The following is an 18,585-nucleotide window of genomic DNA, read 5'->3' as shown; positions in this document are numbered from 1 at the left end:
CCAGCACTTTTCGAGGCCGAGGCAGGTGGATCATTTGAAGTCAGGAGTTCAAGACTAGCCTGGCCAACATGGTGAAACCCCATCTCTAGTAAAAATACAAAAAATAGCCAGGCATGGCGGCAGGCACCTGTCATCCCAGCTACTTGGGAGGCTGAGGCAGGAGAATCACTAGAACCTGGGAGACAGAGGTTGCAATGAGCTGAGATCACTCCACTGCACTCCAGCCTGGGCAACAGGGTGAGACTCTGTCTCAGAAAAAAAAAAAAAGAAAAATTAATTATTTAATTTAAAAAGTTACATTTTAGCATTATTTTGTGTCTTCATGGAAACTTGCATTGTGACATTGAACTATAATTATTTTTGAGTATTTCTAAACTCTTCTGTGAATTTCAGAATGTACGTAAAATAAAGACAGATGACACCATCCTATTCACATATGAAGAATGCAATGCCATTTTTATGGATAACTGGGATATTTACATAATTTCAATGACATATTTTGCCGAGTCTGGCCTTAAGACCTGAAAAAACAGCAAATATTATTGACCTCTGAATATAGAAAAAATACATAAATGTTTTCAGTTAGTTTTGTGAAAACACCTATAACTATAAACGAAAGTCAGGATGTATACTGACCCTTTTGCCTTTCTCACATTTTAAATGTTGAGACTCTTTCATAGTATTCTCCATTATTAGTAGGAAATAGTCAGTTTTTTGTCCCGGTCATTAAGTGGATATTAAAAATCTTTAGAAAAGAATATCATTTGGTTTCCTGTGAAATGGCAACTCCGTCTGCTTCTTGAAGAGTTCGTATCCATTTACAAAATTTATCATATGTATTTGTTTAAGCAGAGTACAGTAACAACAAATTTAATATTTCCTTTATCTTACAGATCCTTTAAACCCAGATCAAGACTCTTCCAGTCATTACCACGGCACCAGCAGTGGCTCTGTGGCGGCTGCCATTCTGGTTCCTTTCTTTGCTCTAATTTTATCAGGGTTTGCATTTTACCTCTACAAACACAGGTACTGCAGAAACACCATCTGTTTGAGAATGTTGTGAGTGTAAACTATGGGTTTAAAGTAATGGGCATGCTCTCGTGCTCACATGCACATGTATTTTATATTACTATGCAATGTTCTTTTTTTTTTTTTAAATCAACTTTTATTTTGAGTTCCGGGGTACACGTGCCGGATGTGCAGGTTTGTTACCTAGTTAAATGTAAGCCGGGGTGGTCTGCTGCATGGATCAACCCATCACTCAGGTATTCAGCCCAGCACCCATCAGCTGTTCTTCTTGATGCTCTCCCTCCCTCCAGCCCCCCACAGGCCCCAGTGTGTGTTGTCCCCTCAATGTGTCCATGTGTTCTCATCGTTCAGCTCCCACTCATGAGTGAGAGCAATGCTCTTTCTTGGACTAACAATGCTTATTTGTCAAGATTTTTTGTTGTCCTTTCTGTTGTTTTCTGCCCTACTTTTTAAGCAGAATACATCTAAGAAATAAGAGAATAAATGACTGAGTTGAGAAATAATATGTTTTTTTCTTTCATGTTCAATTGAAAGATGAAATAAAGGATTCTATCTCTACATTCAGGCTCCATGGCCAACGATGAGAACCTTTAGAAGGTATTTCAACCTTCCAGCAAAAGGGTGAACAGAATGTTCTCTATGGCCACTTTCAACTCTGTGAATCTGTGATTGATAGATGTTTCATTGATTTCTTTCTTCAACAAATACAAATTTAGCTCTTTATATGTAGTAAGCAATATAGATGTTCCATCTCTTGAAAAAGTGTTCTGAATACCCATCAATTTGCAAAACTCTGCTAACTGTAAAATGTCAAAACTTGGGGACAAACAACTTTAGTGAACCAGATCCTTTCCTTGGGATTAATGTGGATGCCAGAAGAAAAGAATTATTTTGGAGGAACTATAAACTCCTTGTACATTTTTTCCATATATGGATAATACATTACCTGGAGGAATCTGGAAATGCCAAACTACTCTAAAATACTATTTGAAATGGTAGCATTAACTACAAATAATAAGAAATAAATTATGATCCCCTGAAATAAAATTAGATAGGTTAAATAAATATCAGTACATAATACAGATATTTCACTTAATTCTGGTTAAAACAGAAAAACTGTCATGATATTATTTTTTCAAAACTCATGAAATAGCCTCTTTAAATATTTGCTTTCTTATATTCACTTTTGAAATACACAGTAGAGAAAATGTTGCTTCAAAGGTGTATTAGCTGCTTGTGCCTGTGTCTTCAGTTCCCTATGGCTAGTAATGTTCTTTCTTTAAGAATATGACTCAATGAAAAACATTTCAGATGATATTTAGAAAATTAAAGATGGGCACATCTGTGTTAATTTTTTGGAAGAGAAAATACCCAATACACACAAGTCCGATGAGCCTTATCCTTGAATTTCTGCTCAGGACTAATTTAAAATTTAGTAAATGTAGAAAGATATGCCACTACCTTCTCCAATAAGATGCCATGATCAGATGAGCTTCTCTTCTTAAAGGGATATACACAAAAATGTATCTTCTTTCACGGGTTCCTCTGGGTCATATAATATCCTTATAGAGACACATATGTAGGAACTTACAATTCCTACAAATTTATTTTTGCTTTTGATTGGCATCCACATTAACCCCAAGGAAAAGGTCTAGTCCATTAAAGCTGTTTTCCCTCAACTTGCCTGCAAAGATGCAAACCTTCATATAAGACTGGGATTGTCTTGTCCTTTAAAAAGATAACCCCACATAATTATATATGCATATTTATACATAAATATCACTTCTGATTATATCTTAACTTTAAGGCAATGTAGCATTGGGGGCTATATCCAACATACACACCAGTTTTAGTCGTTAAACCTTAGAAACTTCCCTGTCAATGCTGAGTAGTTGGGTGTCTCCGTGAAGGCGGTGCCTTGGAAAGAGATCTCAGATTACAGAGCCAGAGATAAGGGAGATAGCGCTTATTTTTATGTAAATGTGATGCCTCCTCTGGGTCGGTGGGGAATCTGTCGTCATCACAACTGGACTCCCTCCCTTCCTAACACTGCACCAAGACCAAGAGGCTGCCCTGCATGTTGAATATGAAGGAAGCTGTTCCCTCTCACAGTTCTCAAGAGGACGGCTATGAGGCCACTGTGACTTCTCAATCCATTGGGTCTTTTAGTTCTCTACTTCTGTGCCATAGGAGCGAGGGATGGTGGAATTTTTGTAGAAGCAAGGAAGCCCAGGGCTCAGTTGCCAGCAGCACATCAATCCATTTTCTTCAAGTTCTCACCACCTGGTCAGGAAAGCACCAAGCCTGTAGCACTCTCTACACTGGCTTCTCAGGCTCTAAAGAGATAAATATTTCTTGATGAGTTGGCTCTGCATTCCTCCAGAAAAACCCTGTTTCTGCTCATTTCTGAGTCTGTTGCTTGCATGTTGGGAGTTGCTTCCTCAGAGCCCAAGGTGCTGACAGCCTTCTGCCGGGTGCAGCTGCACACCTGCACGTCAGCATCCAGCTGCAGCCAGTTCCACTCTGGGATTGCATTTCCCTACACATGAAGGGACTGTGGCAGCTTGTGATCTGGACGATTGAGTGAACATTTTAGCCAGGTCTTCACTTCATTGACGAGGGGCTGGATTTGTTTGCTAACGATCACTGCTGGCGCATGTTCCAAGCACAATGTCACGGACCTCTCCCACTCCAAGGGCAGTCACAAAGTGCTGTTCTGCCTTTTTCTCAGAGCCATGTGCCACGTACTTCTCTTTTTCTTAATGAGCATGTGTAACATAAGGAAATCTAGTAAATGTCTCGGCAGAAGTTTCTTGACGCCCAATGTCAAATGATGTTTTTGCGAGCGTGCTTATGTACATTAAATTTCTGGTTTTGCCACGTGGCACATTTTTCTTACCTGATTTCTTCTGGAATAAGGAAAGAATAAACAGAGACAGAGCAGACCAGACATGATTCTGTCTTTTCAGTCTGAAAATCCTCTAATTCTCTAATCATAGATTGTACGTAGGGGTTTTCTTTTAACCAGAAAATGTGACAACAGTTTAATAATGAGTATAGTTCCTTTTTTATAAAGATTCATTTTTAACTCAACAGAGGCAAAATAAAAAATAACTTTTTGTGAATATTAGTAACGACAGTGAACTAAAAGCTTAAACTTGAAATTTAGTGTAAGCATACCGTGCTAAAGGCTAGGCATATGCCCACAACCCTGTTTTACAGAGTAGTAGAAAGTTTCGTGTCTTAACCAAGGCCGTATAACTTATCAGTGATAAATAGACATCCAAAACAAAACCAATCCGATTCAGCCTTTGGGACCTTCCCGATTTCCCTGGGGCATTTGTAGGAAGCATAAGTAAATCTTTGATCCCAGTTACCCAGGAGGCTGAGGTGGGAGGATCGCCTGAGCCCAAGAGGTCAAGGCTGAAATGAGTGGTGGTCGTGCCACTGCACTCCAGCCTGGGTAACAGAGTGAGACCCTGTCTCAAAAAAATTTTATTTAATTTTTGAAATCGATTCACTTTTTAAAACCCATTTTATACTCCCAATCACCAATTTAAGCAAATAAACTGACAGGTGTGCAGGTGTGGATGCCTTCCTTCTTTGCAAACGTCCTGGCTATACTGCTCCCTGCTCTGTAGACGTTGTCTCCTGCACACAGTCCCAGCTGCTAAATCTGCAAATGAAACCAGGATTCTAATGATTTGTTTTCTGTTTTCCTTAGAACGAGACCAAAAGTTCAATACAATGGCTATGCTGGGCATGAAAACAGCAATGGACAAGCATCGTTTGAAAACCCCATGTATGATACAAACTTAAAACCCACAGAAGCCAAGGCTGTGAGGTTTGACACAACTCTGAACACAGTCTGTACAGTGGTATAGCCCTCAGTGCCCCAACAGGACTGATTCATAGCCATACCTCTGATGGACAAGCAGTGATTCCTTTGGTGCCATATACCACTCTCCCTTCCACTCTGGCTTTACTGCAGCGATCTTCAACCTTGTCTACTGGCATAAGTGCAGCGGGGATCTCTACTCAAATGTGTCAGGGTCTTCTACGGATCAAACTACACATGCGTTTTCATTCCAAAAGTGGGTTCTAAATGCCTGGCTGCATCTGTATGAAATCAAGGCACACTCCAGGAAGACTGCCACGTCGCGCCAACACGTCATACTCAATGCCTCAGACTTTCATATTTCTGTGTTGCTGAGATGCCTTTCAATGCAATCGTCTGGGCTCGTGGATATGTCCCTCAGGTGCGGTGACAGAATGGTGGCACCACGATATGTGTTCTCTTGTGTTGTTTTTCCTTTTTAAACCCCCATGAACACGAATACTCTGAAAAAAATAAAAAGCTTTCTGGAAGAAGACACCTTTCTGATAGAGGCTCACACCTACAAATGCTTCACTCTGTCCTTCCGAGACCTGACAAGCTTTGAGGACCTCACAGCTCCCCTGTGTGTTCATCTCTAGGGATGTTTGCAATTTCCCAGTCAGCTGTTCTGTCGCAGAATGTTTAATGCACAATTTTTTGCACTAGTGTGTTATGAATGACTAAGATTCTGATAAAAAAAATAAATTATTTACACAGGGTTTATACACACTATCCATTGTATATAAGCATTATTTCATATTATCAAGCTAAACATTCCCCCATCAGCTTAGTTGGAGTGTTAGGGAAAAGTATTCCTAGATATGGCACAGATTTTAAAAGGAAATACAGTATTGAAGAGATTTATTTTATTATTGCTTCAATTAGCTCCATTTACGTGTTGAATTCATTGAAGAGGTCCAATGAGAAAAAAACAGAAGCCTCCTTATTTCACACGTTTTCCTCCTTTAGTACCATCCTCATCCAATTACTGTCTCTCTGATACTACTTAATAGCAGGGGGTTTGCAGAAATTTCTGTTTGCCATGTAAAACTGTGAATAGTAATTTATTTTAGATAGTCGATGAACTTGTGGGTTTTAGCTCACAATGCAGCCTTCCCTTTTGCAGTGTTTTTTTTTTGTTTTTTTTTTTTTTTGTCTTTTACTGTGCCATCGATCTTTGATATTGCATTGAAAGACAATATACCACAGTAGCACCTTGAACTCAGTGAAAATTGTTCAGGATCAAAATACCAAGTGTTCTTTTAGAGGGAAGGAAAAAGTACACACACTCTCCTCTCACAATGATATATTTTATACATTCATTTGTTATTTGTTTCATGCTTTATGATTCCAGATGGAAAGGTAATTTCAGTGACTTTTCAAGTTTAAATTCCATTATAGGTAAATGATAAGTTATGATGCAAATAAAATCTATAAGATCCCCAGGGCAAATAAAAATCAAAACATGAAGTAGAAGATGTGGCCGTGAGGTAGTTTATGTAACAAATTCAAAGTGAAAATCATGTTTACTTTTACTTATACTTATTTGATAAAAATATTTTTGAAACGATAGTACTTATTTTATTATTTGATATTTCAGTTCCTATTCAATTGTGGCAGATTTTCTCTGTTTCACATTTTAGATTGGCGTTGGTAATAGAAATGTCAGAATGTTCAAATTGGCCTTCACGTTGTCGGAGTGAACACATTGACACCTAGCTTTAAGACTGATTTATCTGTTGGTGTACTGAAGGTTTCCATGTAGGACTTCAAATGTGGAAAAGGAAAAGCAGTCAGGAAAATGGGGCATTCTTTGGAGAGTCACGCGTTTTGATTCGGACATTTCCGTAGAGCTCGGCTCCCAGTGTTGTGTTCCTCGGTCGAAAGGGTCTCTGCTGTTTGGGGACTCACTGGCCTCTCCTAGGGACTCCTTTGTCTTGTGAACCCCACGCTGTTGGATTCTGTATCATTATGCTGAATTCTCTGCACAGTTTTCCCTGGCCAACCTGCCCACATCCTTGGAGATTTGCTTTGCCAGTGGGAATCCTTACATTGCTGTTTCACAGTAGACGGGACGAGGTCAGCGGGAGTCGTGCTCCTAACACACACATTGAACGAAACAGAAGATGATTGAAAGTGTGAGGAGGCTCGTGTGCAAGGGAGAACAGGGTTACTATACATATTAGTGTATATATATACATACATATATATATATATATATTGTACATATCTAAGTTTGAGTCATTCAAACTAGGTGCAAAATGCTGACTTCAGAGTCTGAATTAACATCTCTGTTCCCATATCCCTGACCTGCTCCCTGGTCAACGATGCTATGAAATCCTGAAATGACAGGACATACATACATACAAGAAACCACATATCAAATTAGATATGATTTTCCTTTGTGTGCAAAGTCAAACTGTCCTAGGGTTGCCAGTTTGAAGCATGTTATTTAAATGAAAAAAAAAATCAGTGAAATTCTCGTGTGAGAATTCTGCCTAGTTTCTTCCTAAGGTTGTGTGCAGTGTTGAACGGCGTCTCCGCAAGGTGTTGGAGGATCTCATTTTAGGGCAGTCAGGAGCTGTGCTTGCTGAGTTAGGTCTAGAAGACTCTTCCCTGAAGGCAACGGGAACACGCGTGAGGGACGCGACCACACACTAACAGAGGACACGTGCTTCAGAGCTGTTTAAAACTGCTGCTTGTTTTACACACACATCTTGCCTTTTTTCAGGCTAGCTGCAATAATTTTTTTCTTCTGTAAAATATTTTGTAAACAACAACAAAAAGCTATTATAAAAAGGGGGTAAAAAAAAGAACGCTGGCATTATGATCAGGAAAACCCATTGTCATCGCCGACCCTCCCTCCCGTCCCACCACACGCTGCTGTCACGACGTAGGTGCGAAAGACCTTTTTGTACAGAGATATATTTTTTATGAAGAATTTGTAAAATTATTAAATATGCTGTAATTTTTTGATTAATGTAGGTACATTGTTAAAAAATAAATGTTTTTACAATACAGAACTGTAATTTTCCCAATAATGTAAAATGTACCATCTCTAGCTGATTTTCAGTTCCAATCCTATTACACATGTATTAATATTAAAGTGGCCTGTTAAAATGAACAGTATCTTTTTTTTGTCAAAAAAATTATAAAGAGGGTGTAATATAGCCTGTGCAATGCCACCAATCTTTAAAGCAAATCAGAGTTCTAATTAAATATTTAATTTTAGATTTCTATTTTTCTGTGTGAATTTATTTTCACTTTAATATGCGCACCTGAGTCCCTTGCAGGGGAGGGAAGGAATGGGAGTCTTCATAATGAGCCTTTAGGATATTCAAAATGAAGCTCCATATTTTTCCCACGACATTCACATCATCGTCATGATTAATCAATAGCACATTTAGCAGGAACCATGAGACACAGAATAGTAACGTTGAAGCTGACAGATTTCTTGATGGTTCACATTAAAAACGGTAAGAAAACTTGGTTTCCTCCAAACCAAAACCTATGTTTTTTTATGATTTCTTTTCAATTTGGGAGCTCTGTTTGTAAACGTTCACCACACTAAAAAAATGACATGAAAGAGAATTATAGACCTACTTAACAGAGCACTCCAAATAACACATTTAAAGAAGGCTCAAAAAAATCAAACCGCTTTTTAAACTCAGAACCAGCGGTCCCCCGTTCATTTCTGGGCTGACAGAAAACACAATGCTTTACACGTCCTTGGTGGCCCATCACGCCGAATGTCTTGCAGTTCAACAGAATGATACACTACTTTCTCTGAGAGTCAAGTTATTACAAAATGAAAAACAACCAATAATATTTCCAAAATAGCCCACGGTGGCTTCGCAGCGACCAAGTTTTGATGTCCAACTTGCAATCTGAGTCTTGCTGGCCAGCAACTGCATTTAGGTGCCATTTATTGAGGAAATACCGAGCGCGAGACACTGCACTTTGTGACTCGCAGACGTTGCAAAACCCCCATAATCCAACCGAGAGGGTTTTGCCACTTTGATAATTTAGATGAAGAAGCAGGAAGTTAAATAAGTTGGTTGGTTTACCCAACGACACACAGATAGGCAGAGCTGATATTACAGGTCAGGTTTCTCTTGCTTCAACTTTCTCATTTTTCAAGAAACCGTCACATTATGAAATGCATCCAATATTCCCTTTCTTATCCAATTTTTTTTCTGAATTTTTCTGTCATTCTACCTGTGAATCTTCTTTTGCTTCATTGAGTAAATAATTACCAAAGCTAAGAATTCAAAGGGAAATAAGTACTCTCTATTACTAATTTTCACATTCCACAGAATGCTCATACATAATACACCCTTGTGAGTTATTAACATATTGAGTTGAAGCTTTCGGGGGCAGCAAGAAAGTAGTGATCCCACAGTGTGTTTCACGCTACGGTTCTTTAAAATAATAAATAAAATCTGTCTTGCTCTGTGCCTCGGTTTGAGTGCTTTCCTAAAAAATATGGGGCTTCTATAATTATTTGATGTATTAAAGGCTGCAGAATAGGCGACCGTGTTACCATCCACAGCACGGACATCTGTGGCTATTGAAACCCAGTTTGCGTCCTCTTCTCCTGTGGGACTGGCACCTGGAGTTTCCCTGGGAGTCACTCCTCCTGATGACAATCAGCTTTAATGAGCATTGCTCACAATTCCTCGATTGTCCCCGACTGGGCGTGGGGGAATCACACTCATGTGGTTGAGCTGGGACTGACTCCTCTCCCAGGAATCGGGGCCTGACCTGCAGGGTCAGGTACATCTGGCTGAATTTACCCTCAGTCCGTCAACCCACTCCCTGCCAGGAGGTCAGTCTTTCATTCCACAGGGCCACTTGCATTCCCACGACCTGCTCACCGGCCTTTTCTCTTAATTCTGGGAGCAACCCCATATCTTTCTATACAATTGTCTTTTTTTCTTCAAGTTATCCAGGCTTAGTGACTGTTACTTGCAGTTGAGGAACTAGACAGCCATAGTTACAACGTAGACTGAGAAAGAACCTCAGAGATTCACCCCGGCTCACCAAGCCTCTGTGTGGCCAACAACTGGGGCTGCGCACTTCAAATCCACTGCCCTGCAAGCGTGAAACACCATCCTCAGCTCTGCTGTCTCTGAATATAATGACAAATTACTGGGCCTAAATGACAGTCACAACTGCTCAGATGGCTGAGAGAGTTGCTAAAAGCCTCCTTTGCTGCATTTAATCAAAACCCTTCAGAGGGGTTGAATGCTTCCAGGGGCATGCACCCAACCAGAGGGCCTGGAAGCCAGTGGCTTTCAACAAGCTTCATGTTCTTTGGAGGATGACGGACACCCACTATTCACTGCTTTTCACGACTAAAATATCTTGGGCTAAAGGACAGCAAGAATTGTTTTGCAATACTGCTTAGAAGACCTGTTGGTTTGCTTGTTTTAAGGCGTTATTCTTTTGTGGATATCACAGCAACTTTTAGTTTATCACACAGTTTCTAAAGGGAAAGTGCAAGACGACTCACTTTCCTATTTTTTTCAGGCTGTGTGGACCCCTTAGTCCATAGGATTATGTATAAATGAAGTATTTAATTGGGGCTGGGCGTGCGGGCTCATACCTGTATTCCTAGCACTTTGGGAGGCTGAGGCGGGAGGATTGTTTGAGCCCAGGAGTTCACGACCAACCTGGGCAACACAGGGAGACCCTGTTGCTGCAAAAAAAAAAAATAAATAAATAAATAAATTAGGCTATCGTGATGGCATATGCAGTCGTGGTGAAATGCAACTGTTTTTCCAACATCTTAGGAGGCTGAAGTGGGAGGATCACTTGAGCATGGAGGCCAAGGTCGCAGTGAGCTGAGATCCCGCCACTCCACTCCAACCTGAGCGACAGAGGGAGACCCTGTCTAAAAAATATATAAAAATGTACTTAACTGGAAAGGATAAGACTTATGCCACGGGAATTACCTGACATTTCTTCGCACTATTAGTGTGTTCAATGATTTCCGAGCATTAAAAAGCCACCCTGCATCTGGAGGTCTGGGGCAGCCCAGGACAGCACTGCTGTCTGTATCAGGTCCTGGCTATGTTGGCGGTGCCTTCCAAGCTTGGTGCATGGGGTGGAGCTCTGTTTTGGATGCTGTCCTGATAGACTCTGGTGTTCAATTCTGGCCAACCTTCCTGTCCTGGCATCTCAAAGAACGTGGACAGTATAGATCCACTTATCAAAATGATTAAAAATCACATTGTGTGTTGCAAAGGGATGCATATATATGTAATCCAGTTATTAGAAATGCATAGAACGAAATAACGTCATATTCAGATTAGTAGTGACTCCTAAGGTGAGAGAATGGGTAATGGATTTGAATGGTGCTACGTGGAGAGCTTCCAAGTTGTCTGAAATGGAAACTTGGGAAAGCTATTTAGAGACATTTAAGATGGATAGGATAATATTATCTACCTCATGGGGTTATAGAGAAAGCAGTGTGCACCAGGTCATGATTTAAGCATTTCACGTCTATTTTCACATTCTATTACCCAATTTCTCTCTTTCTCCTCTTTATCTATCATCTATATATTTATCATCCTATCATCTATCTTCTTTCCATTTAACACCTATCTATCATTTGTCTATTTTTCTATCATCCTATTGTTTATCTATGTATCTATCAGTTATCTATCACCTTTATTTACTTCCAATACAATGTGAAGAAAGTAGAAAAAAGTTTTAACTTTTACAAGTTGTACAAGTACCTACATGTTGATTTTTTTTTTATTTCCATAGGTTATTGGGGGACAGGTGATATTTGGTTACATGCATAAGCTCTTTAGTGGTGATTTGTGAGATTTTGGTGCACCCATCACCCAAGCAGTATACATTGCACCTTATTTGTAGCCTTTTATCACTCACCCTCTTTCCACACCTTCCCCCTGAGCCCCCAAAATCCAATGTGTCATTCTTATGCCTTTGCATCCTCATAGCTTAGCTCCCACTTAGGAATGAGAACATACGATGTTTGGTTTTTCATTCCTGAGTTAACCCACTTAGAACAATAATCTCCAATCTCATCCAGGTCGCTGCAAATGCCATTAATTCATTCCTTTTTATAGTTGAGTAGTATTCCATCATTCATATATATATATATGTATTCACAGTTTCTTTATCCACTCATTGATTGATGGGCATTTGGGTTGGTTCCACATTTTTGCAGTTGCAAATTGTGCTGCTATAAACGTGTGTGCAGGTAACTTTTTCGTGTAATAACTTATTTTCCTCTGGGTAGATGTCCAGTGGTGGGATTGCTAGATCAAATGGTAGTTCTACTTTTAGTTCTTTAAGGAATCTCCACACTGTTTTCCACAGTGGTTGTACTAGTTTACCTTCCCATCAGCAGTGTAGAAGTGTTCCCTGTTCACCGCATTCATGCAAACATCTACTATTTTTTTGACTTTTTTTTATTATGTCCATTCTTGCAGGAGTAAGGTGGTATCACACTGTGGTTGTGATTTGTACTTCCCTGATCATATGTTGATTTTTTATACTCTATGCCATAATTTATATTTGAAATACATTATATTTTAAATTATGAAATAATGAGCATTGAAGTCGTTTGGGTTTTTTTGTTTGTTTTGTTCTCTTTTTTTTTTTTTTTTTTGAGACAGGGTCTTGCTCTGTCACCCAGGTTGGAGTGCAGTGGAACCATCATAGTTCACTGCAGCCTCAGTACCCTGGGCTTAAGCGATCCTCTCCCCTCAGCTTTCCCACTAGTTGAGACTGCAGTCCTGCCACCATGCCAGGCTAATTTCTGTATTTTTTGTAGAGATGAAGTCTTGCCATGTTGTCCAGGTTGGTCTGGAATTCTTGGGCTCAAGTGATCCACCCTCCTTGGCTTCTCAAAGCACTGGAATTACAGGTATGAGCCGCTGTGCCCAGCCCGAAGTTTTTATTCCTTGCTCGATGTCCTCCTATCTCTGAGACCTCGGATGATCATAGAACCATTCTTGGATCACAACTTTCCAAGCTGCAAGTTGGAGATATCAATATCTGGTTTTATTTGTAAAGCGTGTGCCCTTTGTAAATAATGTTGGCTCATGAATATTTGGTAAAAATCATTGGAAACGATTCATATTTTAGCATAGTTTGACAATAACACCTCTGACTGCAGCCCCTTTCTTCTCCTCTAAGCTGTGCTTGTTTCTATCCTATGTCTGACACATTATGCATGAATACAAATAAAATTAAATCCTGTGTTGAAAAAAAAAAGTGGGACCTGAGTCAGTGGTAGAGTCTCAAGAAGTTCTACCTAAAGAAGGCTTCTGTGATATAAGAAAATGAAACTGCTGTGCAAGAGGATATAATTAGAAATAATTTGCTTACCCACAAGGATTTGGCTAAACAACAGAAAAATACATCAGAAAATAGTTCTTTTGAATGTAACACAGGTAAATTCAGGAAGCCTCAAAGTCTAAGGTTTTATTTACGTTTGAAAAGTTTGATGGTTGGAAAATAAGGAAAAGAAAAGGAGGTTTGCATTTCCTATACGTACTGAATCTCATGCTGAAGGAGCAAAGAAAAAAATAACAAATGCCTAGACTAATTATTTAACACAGCAGGCCACATTGACCTGAAAGATTTATATGGGAAGAATTTGTTGAAATAACTTTAATCCTACTTTCTATTTTGGACACAAGTGCATCTGGAAAGGTACCAACAAGACAATAAGAGTGAACATATTTTGAACTGCTTCTATACGCGAGACAGTATGCTAACTGTTTTGCACTATTTTGTGTTTCGCACATTATTGCCTCAATTAATCCTCTCACGTCACCCTTATGAGCCCAAGAAATGAGAGACATTGTGATAGATTCCACAGGGAGGAAGCATAAAATGAGACCTCAAACCCAGCCACTCTTGCTCTCGAATGCCTCTCGCTAAGTTAGAATTTTCCCACCATATTCACACAGTCCAGCCCAAGGCTCATCCTCAGCCCAGCACCCTAGGCAGACTCCTGCCTGAGGCACTGGGGCCCCTGCAAGGTCGCCTGGTCTGTCGGTTCCGCGCCTGCTCCAGTTCTGCTGATGAGGTGCTCCCTGTGGCCATCTGCAGGGGCTCTGGGACTGCATGGTTAACTTGGCTGATGTCATTGACTCTGCTCCCATGACCTTTGGCCTCCAGAGTCACCTTTTGTTCTATAGGCCTTTACCACCATCCTGTTTCCACCTGGTGTCCCAGCTTTTATTTCCAGACCATCTTATCTCATAATAGAAAGCTCACGATGAAGGTCTTAGAATCTGCCTCGCAGATGGAGTTTGAATACTGATAGGTGGAAAGTCAAGGACTTGTATAACTTTCCAGAATTCATATGAGCCCGTTATTCTTTTTTACCACATTAAAAAAAAAGACAGAAGAGTACATGAGGGAAAGAAAATGTCATCCCAGAAAATGTCTTGAATTCTTATGATTCTGAGATGGAGATTACCAAGACGATTTCTCCCTGTATTGGTAAGAACCTAGGCTTAAGAACTCACAGTTTTAGCGTCTTCTTTAGAAACCGGAGTCGATAGAAAGGGAGATAGCAAGGACTCCAGGGCGAGAAAAGCTCTTGAGCATCAGCTTCTGAGCTTGAAAGGGAGCATTAGGGGGCATCCTCTGAGTGTTCTGCGATCCCATATCTGGCTTTTAGAGATACATCTGCATTGTCTCAATTGATTTTGTTAGCAACCCTGTGGGGCTAGGTACTATTAATAACCTTAATTTCTAGAATAGAAAGTAAAGTTTTAGAAAGGTGAGTTATCATGTCTAAAATTATAGAAATTGTCTCTAAGATCTAAACTACAAAACTGATGAAAGAAATCAAAGAGTAACTAAATAAAGATACATTCCTTATTCATAGATAGGAAGCCTCATTATTGTCAAGATGTCAATCTATAGTGATCTATATTTAATGCAAATTGATCTATATTTGCACATCTAAATTGATGTATACTAAATATGATTCCAATCAAAATCCCAGTAAGTTATATGTGGATATCAACAAACTGATTCTAAAGTTTATACAGAGAGGAAAAGATTCAGAAGAGCCAATACAATATTGAAGGAGAAGAGCAAAGTCAGGCCGGTTGCGGTGGCTCACGCCTGTAATCCCAGCACTTTGGGAGGCCAAGGTGGGCAGATCACGAGGTCAGGAGATCGAGACTAGCCTGGTTAAGATGGTGAAACCCTGTCTCTACTAAAAATACAAAAAAAATTAGCTGGGTGTGGTGGGCCTGTAGTCCCAGCTACTCAGGAGACTGAGGCAGGAGAATCGCTGGAACCTGAGAGGCAGATGTTACAGTGAGCCGAGAATGTGCCACTGCCCTCCAGCCTGGGCAACAGAGTGACATTTCGTCTCAAAAAAAAAAAAACAAAAAAAAAACAGTCATGTTGCTTCCCAAACCAGTGAGGCCAAAGTAAAACTGACACTGTCTCTCTACATATGCAATTTTGAAGGCAGTTTGGAAACATGTTCTGATAATCATAAAGTATTCATATCATTGACCTGTTCAGCGCTATTGATGAAAACAAGTTCTAAATAACAAATCTGAAGGAAGAAAACAGAACACAAGTCTCCATACTATGTAGACAGATGGATCGATACTGACAGATATAGATATATTGATATATTACTAAATAGTAAACATTAATGAAATAAATATTTTGAGAGTAGAAAAACATCATATAATTTAAAGTAAAATGAGAGACAGAAACACCAGGCATTCATTACACATTAAATATGAAGACCATGTAGCAATGGAACATAGGTAAGAGGTACTGTAAAATTTAGAATTGATTTGTTTCACAGTCATGACTGGAAAATCATTGCATGACCCTGGACACAGACCAAGAGAAAGCATGGACAAGAAGCTTGCTGGATTTATTCAGGGGTAGCAGGTTATGAATGGGTTTTATTTCCTTCTTTATTTCATGTTTCTTCAGGTTTTCTGTAATGTCTTGAAGAAAAATGAGAAAATTTGGAAAAAAATAAATTGAAAAAAATAATGAAATGATCATCTTTTTCTACTACCAAATCTACTTAAAACACCTCAAAATTTGACTTTTAGTAAAAATCCTGCCCACCCTCCTTCCTCCTCAGGCGACTGGAATAATCACAAGATGCACATTTGTAACACATCTTTTTTACTTAGAGGTCGAATTAAAATTCACATGAACTGACTCAGGCTTCCAAGTGTTGGAATACTGTGGAGAAACTGGAATTTTCCAATATTTCTGGTGAGGATTTAAAAAATGTTGCAGCTACTTTGAAAAACACTTTGACAGTTTCTAAATGAGTTAAACTTATCTTCACCAGCCATTCCACATCCAGGAAAGAAGTAATTGTTATGTTGACAAAAAAGACTTATATGTGAATGTTCAGGGTATTTTCTGTGATGGCCTCAAACTGGAAGCAATGCAAGTGCTGACGGGTGAACGGATAAAGGAAATGTGTTATATCCACACAACCACACATCTACTCAGTAATAAAAAGGAGGAAACTACGAATAGCATGCAGCTATAGGAGAGAATCTGAAGAGCAATATGCTAAATGAAAACCAAGCATGTAAGACTCCCTATTACATATTCCCATTTATATGAGATTTCTATAAGCTTCTTATTCTTTTTGATTGATAGACATCTTCTGAACTTGGTTTTGATAGGGTTTCACAATTGGAAATTTACTAAATCTCATTGAACTGTACATTCAGGATAATCTAACAAAGTAAGTTTACCTTAATAAAGGTAAAAAGATTTTAAAAATCTTTTTAAAAATCAGATTAAAAATCAGATAATACAAAAAAAATCTTTAATAAAGCTTCTGAATAAAATTAGGTAAACCTTTTTATTTTTTTATTTTTATTGTTATTATTTTTGATCTACACTGGCTTGACTTTCTTGTATGAGAGGCAATGGCAGCAAGAAGTGGCAAGTGCTAACCAGTGTGGATGATGAAGGCCCTCCTATTGCAGTAGGGCTTCCATGCTCAGTTGGAGGGTATCGCCTTGCTTAGTCAGGAGCATCTGACTTGGTGTGTCTTCTTCAGCAACCACCACAAATGGCTAATTTGACATCAGTTTTTCTATAGAATTTTCCCACTTGAGAATGAGATCCAGCACGTAGGATTACTCCCTGTGAATTCACAGCTATATTTGTAAGTGAAAAGCTGAATGTATAATGTTCAAGCCACTGTCAGACAGCTGGTGTTCTCTTAGATCTTCGGACAGGTGGTGGAGTTGCCGTTTTGGCACCTCTGTCGTTCCGTGAAGTTTGACTTTCTGACTGCTCACGTTGCATCCACGTGGGAAGGAGGACGTCAACAATAGGTAGACAGCGAGCAGCATCTGATCCAGCTCCTGGTGGAGACAGCTTCCTCCTGTGCAGTTCCTGGAGATCATGTTATAACTGGGTTTGAATGTACCTTCAGGGAAAGTGATTCAAACAAGCTTTATTATGGGATGGCCTTCCTTGGGTGAGCTTAGTGAGATATTTTTGCAGTGAGAGAAGAAAGGATTCTTAAATTTTTCTTGTATGAAATGATCCAAATATAGAAAAGCTACATTGAAGCATGTGTATTATACCAAAAAAATGCTCCTAATGAAAGCTAAAAAGATTGAGGTGATACAAACATCTTGTATACACATTTACAATGTTTTTCCTATTGGAATGGCTCAACTGACTTTTCAGAAAATTAGAAATGCAGAAGAAGAGGCTGTTAGATTGAAGGAATTATTATTACTTGTTTGTAAACTCACTGACCTCAGCCTTGATCCCTTCATCTTTCTTTAAAATGCCATTGACTATTTCTGAAAAAGAAAAAAAAAGATATTATCTCCTGTATGGGAGAGATCTGGCGTCATTTTTTGGCTGCTCTTGTTAATAGATTGTAATAAAAACAGCATTGATATTTTAACATTGTGCAGGATCAAAAGTTTTTTCTCTGAAACACCTGACTCTGTAAGGTTCCACTTGGTTAATATTCACTTAGATCCTCACAAAGACTCATAGCCCCAACGTAAAATGACTTACCTGATAACTCCTCAATTACACAGATTCTTTGTGTATGTTTTCTTTTTTAAATAACCAAAGAAAACCTGTCCATATTCAAATCTTGTATAAACCACCTACCACCCTAAGATCTTCTTTACACAAATAACTGTGGAAAATAATCTCCCTCTATCTTGGTGTGTGGTGGCACCAGATGCGTTAAACCCTCCAGGAAGAGCTTCAACACAGATCGCTTTGTCAGAAAAGAGTGAAAGTCTTTAAAGTAATTTTTTAAAAGCCAATATTTGCTACACAAAGTTATTTATCACATACACACACACACACACACACACACACACCACACAACACAAACCCTTTAGTCCATTCTATGTAAGTGTTAAAGGAACTAAATATGGCTTGGGAAGGACTCTGTGCTTCTATATTTGAGTCCTTGTGGACGACCTGCAACCTAGCTTAATAGGTAGACAAGACTGAAAATCTTAACTCCAGTTCAAGTGATTCTCCTGCCCCAGCCTCCTGAGTAGCTGGGACTGTAGGTGCATGCCACCACGCCCAGCTAATTTTTATATTTTTAGTGGAGATGGGGTCTCACCATGTTGGCCAGGATGGTGTCAATCTCTTGACCCCGTGATCCACCCGCCTCAGCCTCC

At 39.3% G+C, this 18,585-nt stretch overlaps 1 protein-coding gene and 1 long non-coding RNA gene across 9 annotated transcripts in view; one reads left to right on the top strand and one right to left on the bottom strand.

Annotated features, from left to right (window-relative positions):
• The window catches only part of CSMD1 (CUB and Sushi multiple domains 1), a 2,059,554-nt gene extending 2,051,417 nt beyond the window's left edge, over positions 1-8,137 (top strand). For all 4 annotated transcript variants that reach the window (XM_011534752.3, NM_033225.6, XM_011534753.4 and 1 more), the window contains 2 exons: positions 894-1,026; positions 4,754-8,137. In XM_011534752.3, coding sequence (XP_011533054.1) covers positions 894-1,026; positions 4,754-4,913 — 293 coding nt within the window. In that variant the 3' untranslated portion in view covers positions 4,914-8,137. The remainder of the gene's footprint in view (positions 1-893; positions 1,027-4,753) is intronic.
• LOC105377785 (uncharacterized) overlaps positions 1-18,585 on the bottom strand; it is a 297,276-nt gene that overhangs the window by 80,734 nt on the left and 197,957 nt on the right. Inside the window, exons 10-11 of one of the 5 annotated variants that reach the window (NR_168442.1) lie at positions 17,687-17,733; positions 16,868-17,314 (exon numbers count right to left, since the gene is read on the bottom strand). The exons of the other annotated variants lie outside the window; for them this stretch is intronic. This is a non-coding gene — a long non-coding RNA (uncharacterized LOC105377785). The remainder of the gene's footprint in view (positions 1-16,867; positions 17,315-17,686; positions 17,734-18,585) is intronic. 5 annotated transcript variants of the gene reach the window in all.

The sequence above is a fragment of the Homo sapiens genome, chromosome 8, assembly GCF_000001405.40.
Source record: "Homo sapiens chromosome 8, GRCh38.p14 Primary Assembly".
In the NCBI taxonomy this organism is placed as follows: domain Eukaryota; kingdom Metazoa; phylum Chordata; class Mammalia; order Primates; family Hominidae; genus Homo; species Homo sapiens.
The sequence above is the reverse complement of the archived record's forward strand: the minus strand, read 5'-3'. Positions and strand labels throughout refer to the sequence as shown.